Source organism: Homo sapiens, chromosome 17 (assembly GCF_000001405.40).
Source record: "Homo sapiens chromosome 17, GRCh38.p14 Primary Assembly".
Taxonomy (NCBI): Eukaryota; Metazoa; Chordata; class Mammalia; order Primates; family Hominidae; genus Homo; species Homo sapiens.
In genome coordinates this window covers 40,146,004-40,166,024 of record NC_000017.11, presented here as the reverse complement: position 1 = coordinate 40,166,024, position 20,021 = coordinate 40,146,004, and the positions used below count along the sequence as shown (strand labels likewise).

The 20,021-nt window shown below is 45.3% G+C and overlaps 1 protein-coding gene and 1 non-coding gene across 5 annotated transcripts in view; both read right to left on the bottom strand.

The window, feature by feature from the left end:
• The window catches only part of CASC3 (CASC3 exon junction complex subunit), a 31,635-nt gene that overhangs the window by 6,147 nt on the left and 5,467 nt on the right, over nucleotides 1-20,021 (bottom strand). For all 4 annotated transcript variants that reach the window (XM_047435624.1, NM_007359.5, XM_005257163.3 and 1 more), the window contains 4 exons: nucleotides 4,114-4,272; nucleotides 3,872-4,023; nucleotides 3,124-3,300; nucleotides 1,859-2,544 (listed from right to left, as the gene is read on the bottom strand). In XM_047435624.1, coding sequence (XP_047291580.1) covers nucleotides 1,859-2,411 — 553 coding nt within the window. In that variant the 5' untranslated portion in view covers nucleotides 2,412-2,544; nucleotides 3,124-3,300; nucleotides 3,872-4,023; nucleotides 4,114-4,272. The remainder of the gene's footprint in view (nucleotides 1-1,858; nucleotides 2,545-3,123; nucleotides 3,301-3,871; nucleotides 4,024-4,113; nucleotides 4,273-20,021) is intronic.
• Nucleotides 4,024-4,092, bottom strand: MIR6866 (microRNA 6866). Its single transcript, NR_106926.1, has one exon. It is a non-coding gene; the product is annotated as a microRNA 6866 (primary transcript).

Below are 20,021 nucleotides of genomic sequence, written 5' to 3'. Positions count from 1 at the left end.
GGTGGCAGAGGTAAGACTGCTTGAGCCCAGGAGTTCAAGACCAGCCTGGAAAACACAGTGAGACCCCCCGTCTTTTCAAAAAATAAAAAAAATCAGCCAGGTGTAATGATGTGTGCTTATGATCTTAGCTACTGAGGAGGCTGAGATGGGAGGATTGCTTGAGCCCTGGAGGCGGAGGTTGCAGTGAGCCAAGGTCACGCTACTGCACTCCAGACTCTAGCCTGGGTGACAAAGTGGGACCCATCTAAAAAAAAAAAAAAACAAAAAAAAAAACTATATCTATGTAAACACAACAACAACAAAAACACAAAAGTACAATCATTACACAAAGTTCTATTGGGCAATCTGTCTCTAGAAGATTAAGGAAATAAGGGAGGCTTGCCTTTCAAATATATTAGAGAAGATCTTGATCAAAATTCAACTGAATAAATTTCTGCCTTCAAATATTTAACCATTAGTTCAAATAATAACGTTGTCTTCTTCTACTTTTTGTGGAAAATGATCCTGTACTCAGGAGGCTCAATGATGACCGGGCAGGTGCAGTGTCTTCCATCTGTAATCCCAGCGCTTTAGGAGGATCTCTTGAGCCCAGGAGTTCAAGATTAGCCTGGGCAATATAGCAAGACCCATCACTACAAAAAATTTTTTAAAAATTAGCTGGGGCTGGCACAGTGGCTCACGCCTGTAATCCCAGCACTCTGGGAGGCCAAGATGGGTCGATCACTTAAGGTCAGGAGTTCGAGACCAGCCTGGCCAACATAATGAAACCCCATCTCTATGAAAAATACAAAAATTAGGTGTGGGCCAGGCACGGTGGCTCATGCCTGTAATCCCAGCACTCTGGGAGGCCAAGGTGGGCGGATCACGAGGTCAGGAGATCGAGACCATCCTGGCTAACACGGTGAAACCGTCTCTACTAAAAATACAAAAAAAAAAACTAGCCAGTCGCGGTGGTGGGCGCCTGTAGTCCCAGCTATTCAGGAGGCTGAGGCAGGAGAATGGCGTGAACCCAGGAGGCAGAGCTTGCAGTGAGCCGAGATCACACCACTGCACTCCAGCCTGGGCAACAGTGAGACTCTGTCTCAAAAAAAAAAAAAAAAAATTAGCCAGGTGTGGTGGTGAGAGCCTGTAATCCCAGCTACTCAGGAGGCTGAGGCAGGAGAATTGTTTGAGCCCTGGACGCAGAGGTTGTAGTGAGCCAAGATCGTGCCACTGCACTCCAGCCTGGGCAACAGAGCAAGTCTCTGTCACAAAAAAAAAAAAAAAAAAAAAAAGGCCAGGCACGGTGGCTGTGGCTCACACCTGTAATCCCGGCACTTTGGGAAGCCAAGGTGGGAGGATCACAAGGTCAAGAGATCAAGACCATCCTGGCCAACATGGTGAAACCCGGTCTCTACTAAAAATACAAAAATTAGCCCAGCGTGGTAGTGCACGCCTATACTCCCAGCTACTCGGGAGGCTGAGGCAGGAGAATCACTTGAACCCGGAGGTGGACATTACAGTGAGCCGAGATCGTGCCACTGCATCTAGCTTAGGCAACAGAGCAAGACTCCATCTCAAAACAAATAAATAAATAAAAATACAAAAAAAAAAATTAGCTGGGCGTGGTGGTGTGCGCCTGTAACCCCAGCTACTCAGGAGGCTGAGGCAGGAGAATCACTTGAACCTGGGAGGCGAAGGTTGCAGTGAGCCAAAATCGCGCCACTGCACTCCAGCCTGGGCAAAAGAGTGAGACTCTGTCTCAAAAAAAAAGAAGTAGACATTTGTCAGACACCACCTTCCTGAGACAGAAGTCCCATGCCCCTAAACCTGATGATGCAAAGGGGAAAAAGCTAGCCACCAATCCTATGATACCTACCTCGAAGTTCCCGTGGTTGCAGGAAAGAAGGCTGCCCCGGACTCCAATTCTGTTCTGCTATATTTAGTTGTGCCACATCTTGCTCAAGTCCACTTGTACTAGAATCCACCGGAGCTTCCCAGGTCCCAGTCTTAGTAGGTGGAGTTGGGGTGGTTTCTGGGACTGGAGGTGCTGGAATCAGTCCTTCAGGAGGAGGGGGCACCTCCTCTGCAAGCTTGACTGCATCTCCAACTTTGGTTCGAGTTCTTCTTGCCCGGGAATAGGATTTCTTCTCAATGGGCCTATCAGGGGGTGGTGGTGCAGCATCAGGAGCAGCAGCTGGTGGCTCTGAGGCTGCCTCTTCCTTCTCAGGACTGCCAAGCACTGGAGCATCTGCTTCTGGAGATGGATCCCTCACAGAAGTCTGCTCTAGGCGCCGTGACCGGTAACTAATCTCATGCTTAACAGTCTCACCAGACCGGCCACCATGCTGCCCACCAGCTTCCACAGGCCTAAAACCAGCACGACCTTCCTTGAAGCCCCCAGATCGAGAATAATTCCTGGGTGCAGACATACGGCCGGTACCTGCAGCATTCCTGTTAATAAATGTCCTTGGTGGTAGGGTGCCCCCAAGACCCTGGTGGCGATGAGACTTGTTTAGCCGCTCACCGTTCCAGTTTGGATCTCTTTGTGGAGGACTCCCATATCTACAAAAAATGGAATGAAGAAACTGTTAGGAAATTAACAAAAGGAGGCTACGCGCGGTGGCTCAGGCCTGTAATCCCAGCACTTTGGGAGATCGAGACGGGCAGATCACTTGAGGCCAGGAGTTCAAGACCAGCCTGGCCAACATAGCGAAACCTCATTTCTACTAAAAATACAAAAATTAGCCGATCGCGATAGTACGCGCCTGTAATCCTGGCTACTCAGGAGGCTGAAGCAGGAGAATCACTTCAACCCAAGAGGTGGAGGTTGCAGTGAGCCGAGAACATGCCATTGCACTCCAGCCTAGGCAACACAGCGAGACTCTGTCTTAAATAAATAAATAAAAAGAAAAGCAAAGAGAATTCTTTCTAAAAGATATCAAGAGTCTACACTCTATTTTTTTTTTCCTTTTTTTCTTTTTTTTTTTGGAGACAGGGTCTCACTATGTTCCCCAGGCTGGTCTTGAACTCCTGGCCTCAAGCAATCCTCCTGCCTCAGCCTCCCAAAGTGCCGGGATTCCAGGTGTAAGCCACCGTAAGCCACCATACCCAGCCTGGTCTTATGTTCTAAAATGTCCTCACCGGGGTTTCCGGATTCTTCGAGGTTTGATGTCATCAGGATTATGAGCTGAGCGAATGTCATAACCATAAAGAGCAATGAGCTCCTGTCGGGACTTTGGGGCCTGCTCATCTTCCCGGAACTTGTCATGCTCCCAGCGACCCTCATCCTTCCATAGCTTTCGCTGACGCCCCTTGGGTCTGGATAAAATGAAGGAAAAGTGTCTTGGGTCAGCAGAATTCTCCAAGTAGAGATGTTCTTGAACAAAATGGGTCAGGGAGGCAGGGGGACAATAGGAACTTTACGTAGTCTCCTCATCATCCCAAAGAGATTATAAAAAACAGGCCTCCCCAAAGCAAGCGTGAATCACAGAACCTCAGGGCCTGCTGGGCTCAAATATAACAGACACAGAAATGAGAAAAAGACTTCATTTCATGCCATTCAGTACCTTTGAAACATCTCCTTTCTCCTAAAAGGCAACCTATGCAAGTATTTCACTTCTCAGACGCCTTACACCTCAGACTAAGAAAAGCAAAAGTATAATAATTAAGAGAAGATGAGTTCTGGAAACAAACTGTCCTAGGTCTGTATCTTAGCTGCCTCACCAAGAGTTACCAAATATTCTAAGCCTACTTTCCTCATTTGTACGATAAGGATAATCATAATACTTATCTTAAAATGCTGTAATAAATGAAATACAGGCAAATCGAAGTACCTGGCCTACATGTGTAAAATACATGTTAGACAGCAGCAGCAGCAAGTGGCTTTTACCTGACTTCCTCCTCCTGAGTTTGCCCTCGAAGATCATGCTCAAAGAAGAGCCCTTTCCGAGGTATGTATGCTGGATTCTTCCGATCTTCATCATCATCCAAATGCTTAGGGCCCTTTTTACCCACTTTGTTCTCCACAGGCTCTGTGCTCTCCTAGAGGACAGATAAAGGGATCCTTACTCTTCCAAGCCTCAAGAATCTCTATTCCAGCCTCTAAAATGGAGGACTGTGGAATGTACTAACCTGTCCGTCCCCACTTTGCCTCTCTCCAGTCACAGTGCTTTTGGTGTCAGGCTTTTCTTCTCCCTTCTCTTCTTTTGTTGAAGAATTAACAGCATCATTAGCTTCTGATTTCAGCTCCACTTTGGAGTTTTCCTCTTCACTGTATTCACCTTCTTCACCCTGAAAAAAGTTTCCCTGTCAGCGATGCATATAAGATCTGAACGGTGCATTTTAATTCCCACCCCTGCCCCCAACCCCAAAACAAAGTCTCTGTCACCCAGGCTGGAATACAGTGGCACAATCTCAGCTCACTGTAACCTCTGCCTCCAGGGGTCAAGCAATTCTCCTGCCTCAGCCTCCTAAATAGCTGGGATTATAGGCGCCCACTACCGCGCCTGGCTAATTTTTGTATGTTTAGTAGAGACCAGGTTTCACCATGTTGGCCAGGCTGGTCTTGAACTCCTGATTTCGTGATCTGCCTGCCTTGGCCGCCCAAAGTGCTGGGTTTATAGGCGTGAGCCACCGTGCCTGGCTGCATTTCAATTTTCTACTCTTTAGGAATACATTTATCAATAAATTTTTAGTACAACATAGAACTGAAAAGCAAACAAATCAATATTCTTACCCATATTTCTAGAAAATAAAGATCCTATTTTGGCCTGGCACAGTGGCTCACGCCTGTAATCACATTTTGGGAGGCCAATGCAGGCAGATCACCTGCGGTCAGGAGTGTGAGACCAACCTGGCCAGCATGGCAAAACCCCATCTCTACTAGAAATATAAGAATTAGCCGCACTTGGTGGTAGGCACCTGTAATCCCAGCTGCTCGGGAGGCTGAGGCAGGAAAATCGTTTGAACCAGGGAGGCAGAGCTTGCAGTGAGCAGAGACTGCGCCACTGCACTTCAGCCTGGGCGACAGAGCAAGGCTCTGTCGCAAAAAATAGTAATAATAAAAAAAAGACACTATTTTAAAAATATCACATTAAAAAAAATACACACATACATACATATATATCCACATAGGTATTCCTGGAACATATGCAAGAATTATTAAAAGTGGCAGGCTGGGCGCAGTGGCTTACACCTGTAATCCCAGCACTTTGGGAGGCCGAGGCAGGCGTATCACTTGAGGTCAGGAGTTCGAGACCAGCCTGGCCAACATGGTGAAACTCTGTCTCTACTAAAAATACAAAAATTAGCCGGGAGGCGGAGGTTGCAGTGAGCCAAGTTTGTGCCACTGCACTCCAGCCTGGGTGACAAAAGCAAAACTCCATCTCGAAAAAGCAAAACAAAAAAACAAAAAAACAGCGGCAGCCTCTAATGGGCCCAGAGGATAAGAATGGAAGGGAGACTTACTATACGATACCTAACATATAAGAGGAGCTTAATCTTCCTTGATAATCTCTCTCTCCATGAATTATCTTTTTTTTTTTTTCTGTTTTGAGACAGGGTCTTGCTCTGTTGCCCAGGAGTGCAGTGGCACAATCATGGCTTACTGCAATCTCAATCTCCTGGGCTCAAGTGATCCTCCCACCTCAGCCTCCCAAGTAGCTGCGACTACAGGCACATGCCACCACACCTGGCTGATTTTTTTTTATTTTTAGTAGAGACGAGGTCTCGCTATGTTGCCTAGGCAGTTCTCAAACTGCTGAGCTCAAGCAATCCTCCTCCCTTGGCCTCCCAAAGGGCTGGGATTACAGGCATGAACACTGTACCTGGCCCATGAATTGTCTCTTAAACATGCAGTGCCTAATAACTATACTTTGACGTAAGTTGTGAACTCTCCCATCTCAAAATGGCTTAGAGCAGAAATTCCCAACCTTTTTGATTATGCGGACCCCTTTTTAGGATCTAAAAATTTTCATGGATCCCCATGAGATATTCACTGAGAAAACATACAATGACAAACAACTGCTAGGCTGGATGTAGTGGTTCACGCCTGTAATCCCAACACTCTGGGAGGCCGAGGTAGGTGGATCACTTGAGGTCCGGAGTTTGAGACCAGCCTGGCCAACATGGTGAAACCCTGTCTCTACTAAAAATACAAAAATCAGCCAGACATGGTGGCATGAATTTGTAATCCCAGCTATTTGGGAGGCTGAGGCAAGAGAATTGCTTAAACCCAGGAGGTGGAGGTTGCAGTGAGCCAAGATTGCACCACTGATACTAGTCTGGGCAAAAGAGTGAGACCCTGTCAAAAAAAAAAAAAAAAAAAAAAAAATTCGCCAGGAATGGTGGTGTGCGCCTATAGTCCCAGCAACTTGGGAGGCTGAGGTGTGAGATCATTTCAGCCCAGGAGGTAGAGGTTGCAGTGAGCCATAATTGTGCCACTGCGCTCCAGTCTTAGCAACAGAGAGAGATCCTGTCTCAAAAAAAAAAAAAAAAAAACACACAATGAACTGATGCGTGCGTGCCTGTAGTCCCAGCTACTCAGGAGGCTGAGGCGGGAGAATCACTTTAACCTGGGAGGCAGAGGTTGCAGTGAACCGAGATCGCACCACTGCACTCCAACCTGGACAACAGAGACTGTCTCAAAAACAAACAAAAAACAACAAACTGTTATACATTCAATAACACTTTAAGTTTACATTTTATTAATTTACATATATTCAAAAATAGTAGTACATAAGGGGGGAGATGTATATTTTAGTCTATAGATAATGAGAACTGAATGAGTAGACATGCAACTCTTTTTTGAGACAGGGTCTCACTCTGTCGCCCAGGCTGGAGTGCAGTGGTGTGATCTCAACTGACTATAGCCTTGACTTCCTGGGCTCAAGTAATCCTCCCACCTCAGCCCCCACAAGTAGCTGGGACTACAGATGTACACCACTATGCCCAACTAATTTTTGTATTTTTTGTAGAGACAGAGTTTCACCACATTACCCAGGCTGGTCTGAAACTTCTGAGCTCAAGCGAACCTCCTGCCTCAGCCTCCCAAAGTGCTAGGATTACAGGCATGAGCCACTGCGCCCAACCAGATGTGCAAACTCTTGATAATGACTCCATGATTTCCCAATGCACTTATCCTCAAGCTGGAAAATGGTAGCTTTTTTTAATGCCTATGAGTACTGGTTTTCTGCAGCAGAAAATTCCTGCAGCCAGAACATATCCAGAATCACATAATTACAAAAATTTGACCTAAAAAACCTTAAAGGACAACTTGTACAACCATCACATTTCAGAAATGAAAAAAATTAGTCCAAGTGCTCTCTCTCTCTTTTTACTATCTTCTTCCCTCTTTTACCACATCAAGATTGGGTAACACTGTTCATGACACAGAAAGTGCTGGGTCTACACACAAAGGATCATTAGGCCATTAGAAAGGGCCAGGAAATGGACGTGTGGCTAGTTCTAGGTAGGAAAAGGCAGCAGCTAAGGCTCATGATAAGGGAACTGGCTTTAGAATAGGGTTACTCTCCTCTCCTTGTCCTCCCCAGATTTGGACCTAAGGAGGCAGAGCTATGGCTAGGGAGGCCTACGAGAACACAGAGAAATGGGTTCAAGGAAAGGTGGTCTAGTCTTCATTGGTGGGTTACATCTGAAACCTGGTAGATGTATGTACACTGGTCTCTCACTCACCTACTGGGTCTGATACTTGAACTGAACCAGACTGCCCTGTCACTCAAGACCCAGGCTGGCCCCAATAATCTGGTCAAAGAGGCTCAACATGAGATTCCTGAATTCCTGATTGAGAAACTCTCAAACTCTAAGTTTCTGCCATCTCTTCAAATAGAGCTGAGTCAGCCTGATTGGCCCAGACAAGCCAATTAATCCCTCTTCCTCATTTTTCCCTGCTCAGCATCTGGGTATAGTTGACGCTGGAACAAGGGGTTTGAACTACTCAGGTCCACTTCTACGCAAATTTTTTTTCAATAGAAGTTGCAGCAAGTATGCCTGCCTCTCCTTCCACTGCCTCTGTCACCCAAGGCAGCAAGATCAACCCCTCCTCTTCTGAAGTCTACTCAATGCAAAGATGATGAAGACCTTTATGATGATCCACTTCCACTGAATAGTATGTTTCCTTAATAGTGAATGATTTCTTAATAACATTTTCTTTTCTCTAGCTTCATTGTAAGAGTACAGTACATAATACACATAAAATATAAAATACATATTCACTGACTGTTTATGTTATTGGTATGGCTTCCAGTTGACTTAGTAGTTAAGTTTTGGGTGAGTCAAAAGTTATACTTGGAATTCTTACTGCAACAGGGATAGGTGTCCTTTATATTTTATTTATTATTTATTTATTTTGGAGACAGAGTCTTGCTCTGTCGCCCAGGCTGGAGTGCAATGGCGCGATCTCAGCTCACTGCAACCTCCACCTCCTGGGTTCAAGCAATTCTTATGCCTCAGCCTCCTGAGTAGCAGGGACTACAGGCGTATGCCACCACTCCCAGCTATTTTCGTACTTTTAGTAGAGATAAGGTTTCACCATGTTGCCCAGGCTGGTCTCAAAGTCCTGAGCTCAGGCAAGCCGCCCACCTCGGCCTCCTGAGGTGCTGGGATTACAGGCATGAGGCACCACGCCCAGCCCCTTTTAATTAATTAATTAATTAATTTATTTATTTATTTATTTATTTATTTGAGACGGAGTCTCGCTGTTGTCCAGGCTGGAATGTAGTGGTGCAATCTCAGCTCACTGCAAACTCTGCCTCCCAGGTTCACGCCATTCTCCTGCCTCAGCCTCCCGAGTAGCTGGGACTACACGCACCCGCCACCAAACCTGGCTAATTTTTTGTATTTTTAGTAGAGACGGGGTTTCACCATGTTAGCCAGGATGGTCTCGATCTCCTGACCTCGTGATCCACCCGCCTCGGCCTCCCAAAGTGCTGGGATTACAGGCGTGAGCCACCGCGCCCGGCCAACCCCCTTTTATTTTTTTAACAGATGGGGTCTCACTGTATCACTCAGGGTAGAGTGTAGTGGTGTGATCATGGCTTGCTGCAGCCTCAAACTCCCGGGCTCGAGTGATCCTCCTGCCTCAGCCTCCTGAGTAGCTGGGACTGCAGGCACGTGCCATCATGCCCAGCTAATTTTTGTCCTTTTTTTTGTAGAGACAGGGTCTTGCTTTCTTGTCCAGGCTAGTCTCAAACTCTTGGACTCAAGTGATCCTCCTGCCTTGGCCCACTAAAGTGCTCAGATTAGAAGCATGAGTGACTGTACCCAGACAGGATAGGCACTCTTAACTCCCATGTTGTCCAAAGGTCAACTATTTTATTTTTTTAATTTTTTTTTATTGAAACGGAGTCTCACTCTGTCGCCCCAGCTGGAGTGCAGTGGCTGGATCTCGGCTCACTGCAAGCTCCGCCTCCCGGGTTCATGCCATTCTCCTGCCTCAGCCTCCCAAGTAGGTGGGACTACAGGCGCCCGCCACCATGCCCGGCTAATTATTTTTTGTATTTTCAGTAGAGACGGGGTTTCATCGTGTTAGCCAGGATGGTCTCGATCTCCTGACCTCATGATCCGCCTGTCTCGGCCTCCCAAAATGCTGGGATTATAGGCATGAGCCACCGCGCCTGGCCGTTCAAAGGTTAACTATTTTGGCCTTGAGTGTTTTGGGTTAGGACTCTCAGAAAGGTAACAGAATAGAGGGAGACTGTTTGACTATACCCACACTATCAGAATCAAGCCTTTACCTATAGCTTTTTAACAACTGAGCACCATTGATTCTTCCCATTTCCCTTAATTACATGAAGTTTTTCCTCCTCAAGACTAGGATGGGTAGGTGGCAATCATTCAGTTCTTTCCTTGATCCTATGTTCCCTGAAGATTTTCAAGCAGAAATTACAATAACTTGGTGTATGTGACTTTAATTCTCCATCTCCCTACACACACGTACTGATTTAATTCAAATACCTTTAAATAGTATTATCACATGATTAATAAGGAAAGCTTGTTTTATGCTCCACCCTCTGATCTGTGGTAGGATGTCAAATAAGGCAACTTTATTTTAAGTGAAAAACTAATTTTGTTTCCAGGGCAGAACAGATACAAATAGCATAGTACTGAGGAGGCTCCAAATTAGTCAAAGCTTAGTCTAACTGAAGCCAAGGTGCTACCACACGGTCACACTGCTTTGGCAAAGGGATGTCATCAAAACCTTTTTCCAGAAGAGACAAACTCCCCTACATCACCCACCATTTCAGTGTACTCTTTCCAATTCTTACTAGCTCCACCCTGAAGGAACTGTTCCTTTGAAAAATTCTAATACAGAAGTTTTAGCTCATTCTTCTACTTCCCACATATTTCAGACTAAGAGATGGAGTTGGTATCCTTATTCTCAATGTCTCTTTCAGATCTAACTCCTCTAGCCTCATTTTAATAAACCCCGGCTCCTCCGAGGCCACGGGCCTGTCGTTGACAGGAAGACTTTAGCACTGAGGTCAGTCTTCACCTGCACTTCAGCCATCCATTTCCATGGCTGCACTCCAAACCAGTCTTACCTAGAACTGCTATGCTTTATTATAAGTAAAACTGCTCCACTTTTAAAACCTTAAATATAATTAGCTGAGCGTGGTGGCTCATGCCTGTAATCCTAGCCACCCGGGAGGCTGAGGCAGGAGAATCGCCTGAACCCAGGAGACAGAGGTTGCAGTGAGCCAAGATAGCGACACTGCACTCCAGGCTGGGTGACAGAATGAGACTCCATCTCAAAAAAACAAAACAAAACAAAATAAAACCTTACGTATAAACACCCGAGTCATGGACCAAAATCGTCACGTGCAAAAGAATGAAGTTGGCCAGGCGCAGTGGCTCATGCCTGTAATCCCAGCATTTTGGGAGGCCAAGATGGGTAGATCACGAGGTCAGGAGATCGAGATCATCCTGGCTAACACGGTGAAACCCCATCTCTACTAAAAATACAAAAAATCAGCTGGGCGTGGTGGCGGGTGCCTGTAGTCCCAGCTACTCGGGAGGCTGAGGCAGGAGAATGGCATGAACCCGGGAGGCAGAGCTTGCAGTGAACCTAGATAGCGCCACTGCACTCCAGCCTGGGTGAAAGAGCGAGACTCCATCTCAAAAAACAAAAAGAATGAAGTTAGACCCTTACTTTACCCCACATATAAAAACTAACTCAAAATGAATCAAAGACCTAAATTTAAGAGTTGAAACTATAAAACTCTTAGAAGAAAACACAGGAGTAAATACTCATGACTCTCAGTTTGGCAAATGACTCTTAGATACCTAACACCAAAAGCATCTGCAACAAAAGGAAAAACATAAACCAGGCTTCATCAAAACTAAAACCTTTGTCCTTGAAAGAACACTATAAAGAAAGTGAACAATCCACAGAAAGGGAACACATATTTGCAAATCATATCTGATAAGGGACTTACATCTAGAATACAGAATATATAGAGAACTCTTACATCTCAATTAAAAAAAAAAAAATGGCCAAGCGCAGTGGCTCACACCTGTAATCCCAGCACTTTGGGAGGCTGAGGTGGGCAGATCACCTGAGGTCAGGAGTTCAAGACCAGCCTGGCCAACATGGCAAAACCTCGTCTCTACTAAAAATACAAAAATTAGCCGGGCATGGCAGCGCACACCTGTAATCCCAGCTACTTTGGGCAAAGATCAAGTGTGGTGGCTGATGCCTATAGTCTCAACTACTGAGGAGGCTGAGGTGGGAAGACTGCTTGCTTGAGCCCAGGAGTTTGAGACCACTCTGGATAATACAGCAAGACCTTGTCTCTAAAAAAAATAAAAACAATAATTAAAAATTAATTTTTAAAAAATTGCCTAGGTATCTGAATAGTCATTTCTTCAAGGAAGATACACAAATGGCCAATAAGCACCAAAAAAAAAAAAAAAAAAAAACGCTCAGCATCATTAGTCATCAGGGAAATGCAAATCAGAATGAGAAAACATCTCATACCTAATAGGACATCTAGAATCAAATCGGCTCACTGCAACCTCTACCTCCCGGGTTCAAGTGATTCTTATGCCTCAGCCACCTGAATAGCTGGGATTACAGGCGCGTGCCACAGTGGCTGGCTAATTTTTGCATTTTTAGCAGAGACGAGGTTTCGCCATGTTAGCAAGGCTGGTCTGGAACTCCTGATCTCAAGTGATCCGTCTGACTCGGCCTCCCAAAGTGCTGGGATTATAGGCGTGAGCCACCGTGCCCCGCCAAAAAAAAAAAGTTTTAGACAGGTCTATGTTGCCCAAGCTGGTCTCGAACTCCTGGGCCCAAGAAATCCTACTGCCACAGCCTCCTGAGTAGCTGAGAGTACAGGCATGCACCTGGGTAAATAACACAACAAGTGCTGTTAAGGATATAGAGAAACTGGAACCCTCATACACTGCTGCTAGTCACGTAAAATGGTGCAGCACCTTGGAAACAGTATGGCGGTTCTAGTTCCTCAAATGATTACAGAGTTACCACATGACTCAGCAATTCCATTCCTAGGTACATAGTCAAAAAGAAGTGAAAACATATGTCCCCATAAAAACATGTACACTAATGTTTGTAGCAGAATTATTCATAATAACCAAAAGATGGAAATAAGCTATGGAAATAACTCGTGTCTGTTGTTGGGTGAATGGATAAAGAAAATGTGGAACACACGAACAATGGAATCTAATTCTGCCCTAAAAAAAAAATTTTGACATTTGTGACAACAAATGGATGAACCTAGACGGAACTATGCTAAGTAAAATAAGCTAGACACAGAAAGATAACCACCACATGATCTCAAGTCAAACTCATAGAAACAGAGAGTAGGAAGGGGGTTTCTAGGGCTTAAGGGTAGCGAAAATGAGATCGTGGTAAAAGGATATAAAACTTCAGTTATAAGTTCTGGAGACCTAATGTACAGCATGGTAACCATAGTTAATAATAACTTACTGGTTGGGCGTGGTGGCTCACACCTGTAATCCCAGCACTTTGGGAGGCCGAGGTGGGCAGATCATGAGGTCAGGAGTTCGAGACCAGCCTGGGCAACATGGTGAAACCCTGTCTCTACTAAAAATAAAAAAATTAGCCGGGCGTGGTGGTGGGCGCTTGTAATCCCAACTACTCAGGAGGCTGAGGCAGAAGAATTGCTTGAACCTGGGAGGCAGAGACTGCAGTGAGCCGAGATTGTAACACTGCACTCCAGCCTGGGCTACAGAGCAAGACTGTCTAAAATAATAATAATAATAGCGTACTGTATACTTGGTCAGGCATGGTGGCTCATGCCTGTAATCCTAATACTTTGGGAAGCTGAGGCTGGAGGATTGCTTGAAGCTGAGTTCAAGACCAGCCTGGGCAATACAGCGATTCTTTGCCTCTACAAAAAATTTGTTTAAAAATTAGCTGGGCGGCTGGGCATGGTGGCTCACGCCTGTAATCCCAGCACTTTGAGAGGCTGAGTGGGTGGATCACCTGAGGTCGGGAGCTCGAGACCAGCCTGACCAACATGGAGAAACTCCACCTCTACTAAAAATACAAAACTAGCTGGGCTTGGTGGCGCATGACTGTAATCTCAGCTACTTGGGAGGCTTAGGCAGGAGAACCGCTTGAACCCAGGAGGCAGAGGCTGCAGTGAGCTGAGATCATGCCACTGCACTCCAGCCTGGGCAACAAGAGTGAAACTCCGTCTCAAAAAAAAAATAAAAATAAAAACAAATAAATAAATTAGCTGGGCATGGTAGTGCACGCCTGTAGTCCCAGCTATTGAGGAGGCTGAGGTGGGAGGATTGCTTAAGCCCAGGAGTTTGAGGTTGCAGTGAGCTATAACTGCATCACTGAACTCCAGCTTGGGTGACAAAGGTTCTGTCTCTTTTTAAACCATGTAAAATAAAAATAAATAACATATTGTAAACTTGAAATGTGCTGAGAGTAGCTCTTCGGTGTTCTCATCACACACATACAAAAAGGTTAACTAGGTGAGGTGATAGATACGTTAATTAGCTTAACTGTGGTACTCCACAATGTACACATATATCAAGATGCCACACTGTATGTGTTAAATGTATACAATTTTTATTTGTGAGTTATACCTCAATAAAGCTGGGGTGGGGAGGCAGAAAGAAGGAATGAAGTACTGATACATGCTACAAGTCAGATGAAAACATTATACTGAAAGAGGCCAGACACATAAATCTACATATTACATAATTCCATTCATATGAAAGGCCAGAATAGGAAAATCAACAGAGACAGAAAGTAGATTTGCGGTTGCTTGAGGCTACGGGAAGGATGGGAGAACTGGGTTTCTTCCTTCCTTTTTTTTTTTTTTTTTTTTGAGATGAAGGTCTCACTCTGTTACTCAAGCTGGAGTGCAGTGGTATGATCACAGCTCCCTGCAGCCTTGACCTCCTGGGCTCAAACAATTCTCCTGCCTCAGCTTGCCAAGTAGCTGGGACTACAGGTGCACGCCACCACGCCTGGCTAAATTTTTTATTTTTTATAGAGATAAGGTCTTACGGGCCAGGCGTGGTGACTTACGCCTGTAATCCCAGCACTTTGGGAAGCTGAGGTGGGTAGATCACTTGAGACTGGGAGTTTGAGACCAGCCTGGCCAAAATGACAAAATTCCATCTCTACTAAAAATACTAAAAATTAGGCAGGCATATGGCACATACCTGTAACCTCAGCTATCCGGGAGGCTGACGAACGAGAATCACTTGAACCCCAGAGGGTCAAGTTGCAGTGAACCAAGATTGTGCCACTGCACTCCAGACTGGGTGACAGAGCAAGACTCTGTCTCAAAAACAAACACACAAACAAATAAAAAGAGATGAGGTCTCACTATGTTGCCCAGGCTGGTCTCGAACTCCTGGGCCGACCATTCCTCCTGCCTCAGCCTCCTGAGTAGCTGAGTACAGGCACGCACCTGGCTAAATTATGCACTTTATAAATAAATGAACTGTACGTTCTGTGAATTGTATCTCAATAAAGCAGTTTTTTTTCTTTTTTTCTTTTTTGAGAGGGAGTCTCACTCTGTCGCCCAGGCTGGAGTGCAGTGGCGTGATCTCGGCTCACTGCAAGCTCCACCTCCCGGGTTCACACCATTCTCCTGCCTCAGCCTCCCGAGTGGCTGGGACTACAGGTGCCCGCCACCACATCTGGCTAAGTTTTTTGTATTTTTAGTAGAGACGGGGTTTCACCGTGTTAGCCAGGATGATCTCGATCTCCTGACCTCGTGATCTGCCTGCCTTAGCCTCCCAAAGTGCTGGGATAAAGGCATGAGCCTCGGCGCCTTGCCACAATAAAGCAGTTTTTTAAAAAAATGCCTCTTATTCCTAGTTGTTTCCTTACTGTCTCGTCTCTAATTTTTCAATGCATCCATTCCCTTGATGCTTCTAACTTCTGCCTATCAGTCCTTTCTCACATTCACTTTCTTCTCTCTCTAGACTCCATAGCTCATTCATTTCAATCACTACTAGTAACATCCCATTTCTCTTGCCACTCCCATATGCCTGGAACTGGATCAATTCAAATGTCTGCTTTCTCCAGGCCTACAACAGACTACTCCATTGCCAAAGGGGGTTACACACACACACACACACACACACACACACGCACACACTCTTACTTTTTGAAGCAGATGTCATTCTTTTGTTTTTTTCGAGAGTCTCACACTGTTACCCAGGGTGGAGTGCAGTGGTGCAATCATAGCTTGCTGTGGCCTCGACCTCCTGGGCTCAAGGGATCCTCCCACTCCAAGCTCCCAAGTAGCTGGGACATAAGCACACATCACTGCGCCAGGTTGATTTTTTGTAGAGAGAGGGTCTCACTTTGTTGCCCAGATTGGTCTCAAATTCCTGGGCTCAAGCAATCCTCCTGCCTTGGCCTCCCAAAGTGCTTGGATTACAGGTGTGAGCCACCGTGCCTGTCCTGCTCTATCCTTCTATTTCACAAAAACAAAACACAGAAAGGAACGCTAACTTCCTTTCCTTCCCACTTCTTTGTAATTACAATGGAAGATACTTCTCATCTGGTTCCTACATCTTCTCATGTACTTAGTCAAGAATACCAGTACTTAATATTATTATCTATTCCCTCTTTTTTTTCCCTTTTTTTTGAGACGGAGTCTCGCTCTGTCGCCCAGGCTCAAGTGCCCGCCACCATGCCCGGCTAATTTTTTGTATTTTTAGTAGAGACGGGGTTTCACCATGTTAGCCAGGATGGTCTCGATCTCCTGACCTCGTGATCTGCCCGCCTCGGCCTCCCAAAGTGCCGGGATTACAGGCGTGAGCCACCGCACCCAGCTTTTCCCTCCTTTCTAATCTTCCTTTGCACATACCTTTCCTTCCCACTTCTCTGTAATTACAATGGAAGATGTTAATCTTGTCTGGTTCCTACTTTTTCTCATATACTCAGTCAAAAATACCAGTACTCAATATCATTATCTATTCCCTCTCTTTTTTCCCCCTTTCTTTTCTTTTTTTCAATCTTTGACCTTATTTGATACTCTCCTAACTTTTTAAAAAACATCCAAATCACCTCTTGATCTCAAAGCTACCTCTCCAACTACCATCTCTTCAGCCTTCCCTCAGTCAAATTTCTTTAACAAGTTTTTTTGGCCAGGCACAGTGGCATGAACCTATTGTCTCAGCTATTCAAGAGGCTGATGAGGATTGTAAGTTCAAGTTCAAGCTCAGCTTGGGCAAAATAAGGAGACCCATTTGCCAAAAAAAAAAAAAAAAGAATTCTTGGAAGACTCTCAGAAAATGGCAGTGGCACAGTTTTATCTCTCTTCAAATCTCCACATGGAATGAGAGCTCTGGACAGCAAAACCGAGACCCAAACCAAAACCCTGGCCAGACACAGTGGCTCACGTCCATAATCCCAACACTTTGGGAAGCCGAGGTGGGTGGATCACCTGAGACCAGGAGTTCGAGACCAGCCTGGCCAACATGGTAAAACCGCGTCTCTACTAAAAATGCAAAAATTAGCCAGGCATGGTGGCACGCACCTGTAATCCCAGCTACGCAGGAGGCTGAGGCACAAGAATAGCTTGAATCTGGAAGGCAAAGCCACTGCACTCCAGCCTGGGCGACAGCAAGACTCTGTCTCAAAAAATAAAAAAGAAACCAAAACCTTCAGACAACACTGCAACAAAGTTAAGTTACCAGGTATCCCCCAAGACCCAAAATGTAAGTGCATAACAAAGCACCAACAGCTGTAGGACCTGTATAGTACTGGTGTCCACGCAGGAGAAAGCAGAGAGAAAGCAAATGGACCTGAGAACAGGAGAACACTGAAATAATCAACAGGCAGTCAAGGGAAAGCACAACAGTCAAAACTGAGAACAGCACTTACAACTAGCAAGGGGGCCACACACGGTGGCTCATGCCTGTAATCCCATCACTTTGGGAGGCCAAGGTGGGTGGATCATCTGAGTCAGGAGTTCGAGACCAGCCTGGAAAACATGGTGAAACCTCATCTCTACTAAAAATACAAAAATTAGCTGGGCACGGTGACACACGAGGTCCCAGCTACTCAGGAGGCTAAGGCAGGAGAATCGCTTGAACCCAGGAGACGGAGATTGCAGTTAGCTGAGATTGCGCCACTGCACTCCAGTCTGGGCGACAGAGTGAGACTCTGTCTTAAAAAAAAAAAAGGTCTGAAGGGATGAAGCTGACCTGGCTGCCAGGGCTTCCTTCTGGGGACAGGGCCCTACACTGTCCCTAGAAGGGAGTTCCTAGAAGAGAAACTGTTGAGAGCAGGACCAAATTCAGTAGGACAGGGATGGTCCAGAACAAGCTGGGAAAGGGAACAAAAGCAACAAATCTCAGAAAGCAAGCCACCATATTTCTCACCACCACAGAAAAACAACAGAAGCAGCTCTGTGAAGTTAGAAAAAGCTATTCTAAATCATGCTTCCTTCGAAAAGACCAGGAAAACTAATTTTACATAAAAATGAACAGAAAATACAGAAGTTAAATCCCATAAAGTTATAATAAGAAAAAATAATAGCATTCCTACAGACAATGAAAGCATGCCAGAAAGACATCCGCATATCATATCAAAATTGCAACTTCTATTTCAAAATAAGCTAAAAAGACATTAAGAAAATTATATAAGGCATGAAAGAACATCAATCAGAATTGGAAAAACTCAAAAATGAAATGAGAACTCAGAAAGGTATGAGCAATTAGGAATCAAAAACTATTTACCAGGTATCACCACCTAAAAGTCCCACACCTTCTCGATCTCAAAACATCCAAAACCTAACCCACAACTGTCCTTCCAGAACTCTTCTCCTGGGGTCCCTTCCTTAACAGTTAACACCATTCAACACCATTCATCAACCTGCACATTCCTTTGACTCCTTTTTCTTTTTCTGAGTCAGGGTCTCACTTTGTTGTCCAGGCTGGAGTGCTGTGGAGTGATCACAGCTCTACTGCTTTGACCTCCCTGGGCTTAGATGATCCTCCTGCCTGAACCTCCTCAGTAGCTGGGACCACAGGCCTGCGCCACCAAGACCGGATAATTTTTTTTTCTACTTTTCTTTTGTAGAGACAGGATTTTTCCATGTTGCCCAGGTGGGTCTCAGGCTCCTGGGCTCAAGCAATCCACCTGCCTCAGCCTCCCAAAATGCTGTGATTACAGGCATGAGCCAAGGTACCTGGCCTCCTTTGACTCCTTAATTTAGGTTCCACATTCAATCAATGAAGGGGTTGTTAGTACACTAGAATCTCTCTCTAATCTGTCCCACATCTTGCCATTCCAACAAGTATGAACCTTCTTTAGGGGCACCATCGTCATGCTCCTTGGACTATCCTAACAACCTCTAAACAGCTCTTCTGCCTCTAGTCTTCCTTTGTGCCTCACCCACAATTCATCCCCCACATTTAAGCCTTCAGTGGTACTTCTTTCCTAGCCATTAGGAAAACATCCAAACTCCCTTACATATAGAATGGTAAGCTGCTATAAATTCACAATCCCCAAAACTCAATGAACACTCCATATTGCCTGTCAGTTTCTCCAACGTTTCCATTCTCTAGTGACTACAGACGGTCCCTGATGTATGATGGTTCAACTTATAATTTTGACTTTATGGTGGTATGAAAGCCATAAACATTCAGTAGAAACTGTACTTCTCAGCTGGGTGCAGTGGCTCACCACACATGTAATCCCAGCACTTTGGGAGGCCAAGGTGGGAGGATCCCTTGAGTCCAGTTCAAGATCAGCCTGGGCAACACAGAGTGACCTCATCTCTATTAAAAATATTTTTAAAAAAATAAAAAAGAGGCCAGGCACTGTGGCTCATGCCTGTAATCCCAGCACTTTGGGAGGCCGAGGCAGGCGGATCACCAGGTCAAGAGTTCAAGACCAGCCTGTCCAACATGATGAAACCCCGTCTCTACTAAAAATACAAAAAAAATCAGCCAGGCATGGTGGCGTGCGCCTGTAATCCCAGCTACTTGGGAGGCTGAGGCACGAGAATCGCTTGAACCCGGGAGGCAGAGGTTGCAGTGAGCTGAGATCACGCCACTGCAGACAGAGTGAGACAGAGTGAGACTCTGTCTTAAAAAAAGAAAAAAAAAAAAAAAAAGAAATCGTACTTCTCGAGATGCTGGATAGCAACAGAGAGTTGCTGCTCCAAGTTAGCCAAGAAGTTATCTTGAACTTCTGAACTTATGATGGGTTTACCAGGATGGGATGTAACTACACCATAAATCAAAAAGCATCTGTACTGCAGCAAATATTCCCCATCCCAAAACCACTTCTAACTCTGAATTCTGTCCACTTCTATTTTCACTATCACCACTCTATTCCATGCCACACTCACTACTTAACTAGATTCCTACAATAGCTTTCTTAACTAGCTTTTCTGTCTCTGATCTTGTTTCTCTTCACTGTGGACAAAATAACTGCTATAAAAGAATCCTCAAATTTTACAGTACATAGCATCAACCTGGGATATTCTTTAATACATAAATGTCTGAGTCTCCAATGCCCCTCCCAAGAGTCTGTTTCAGTA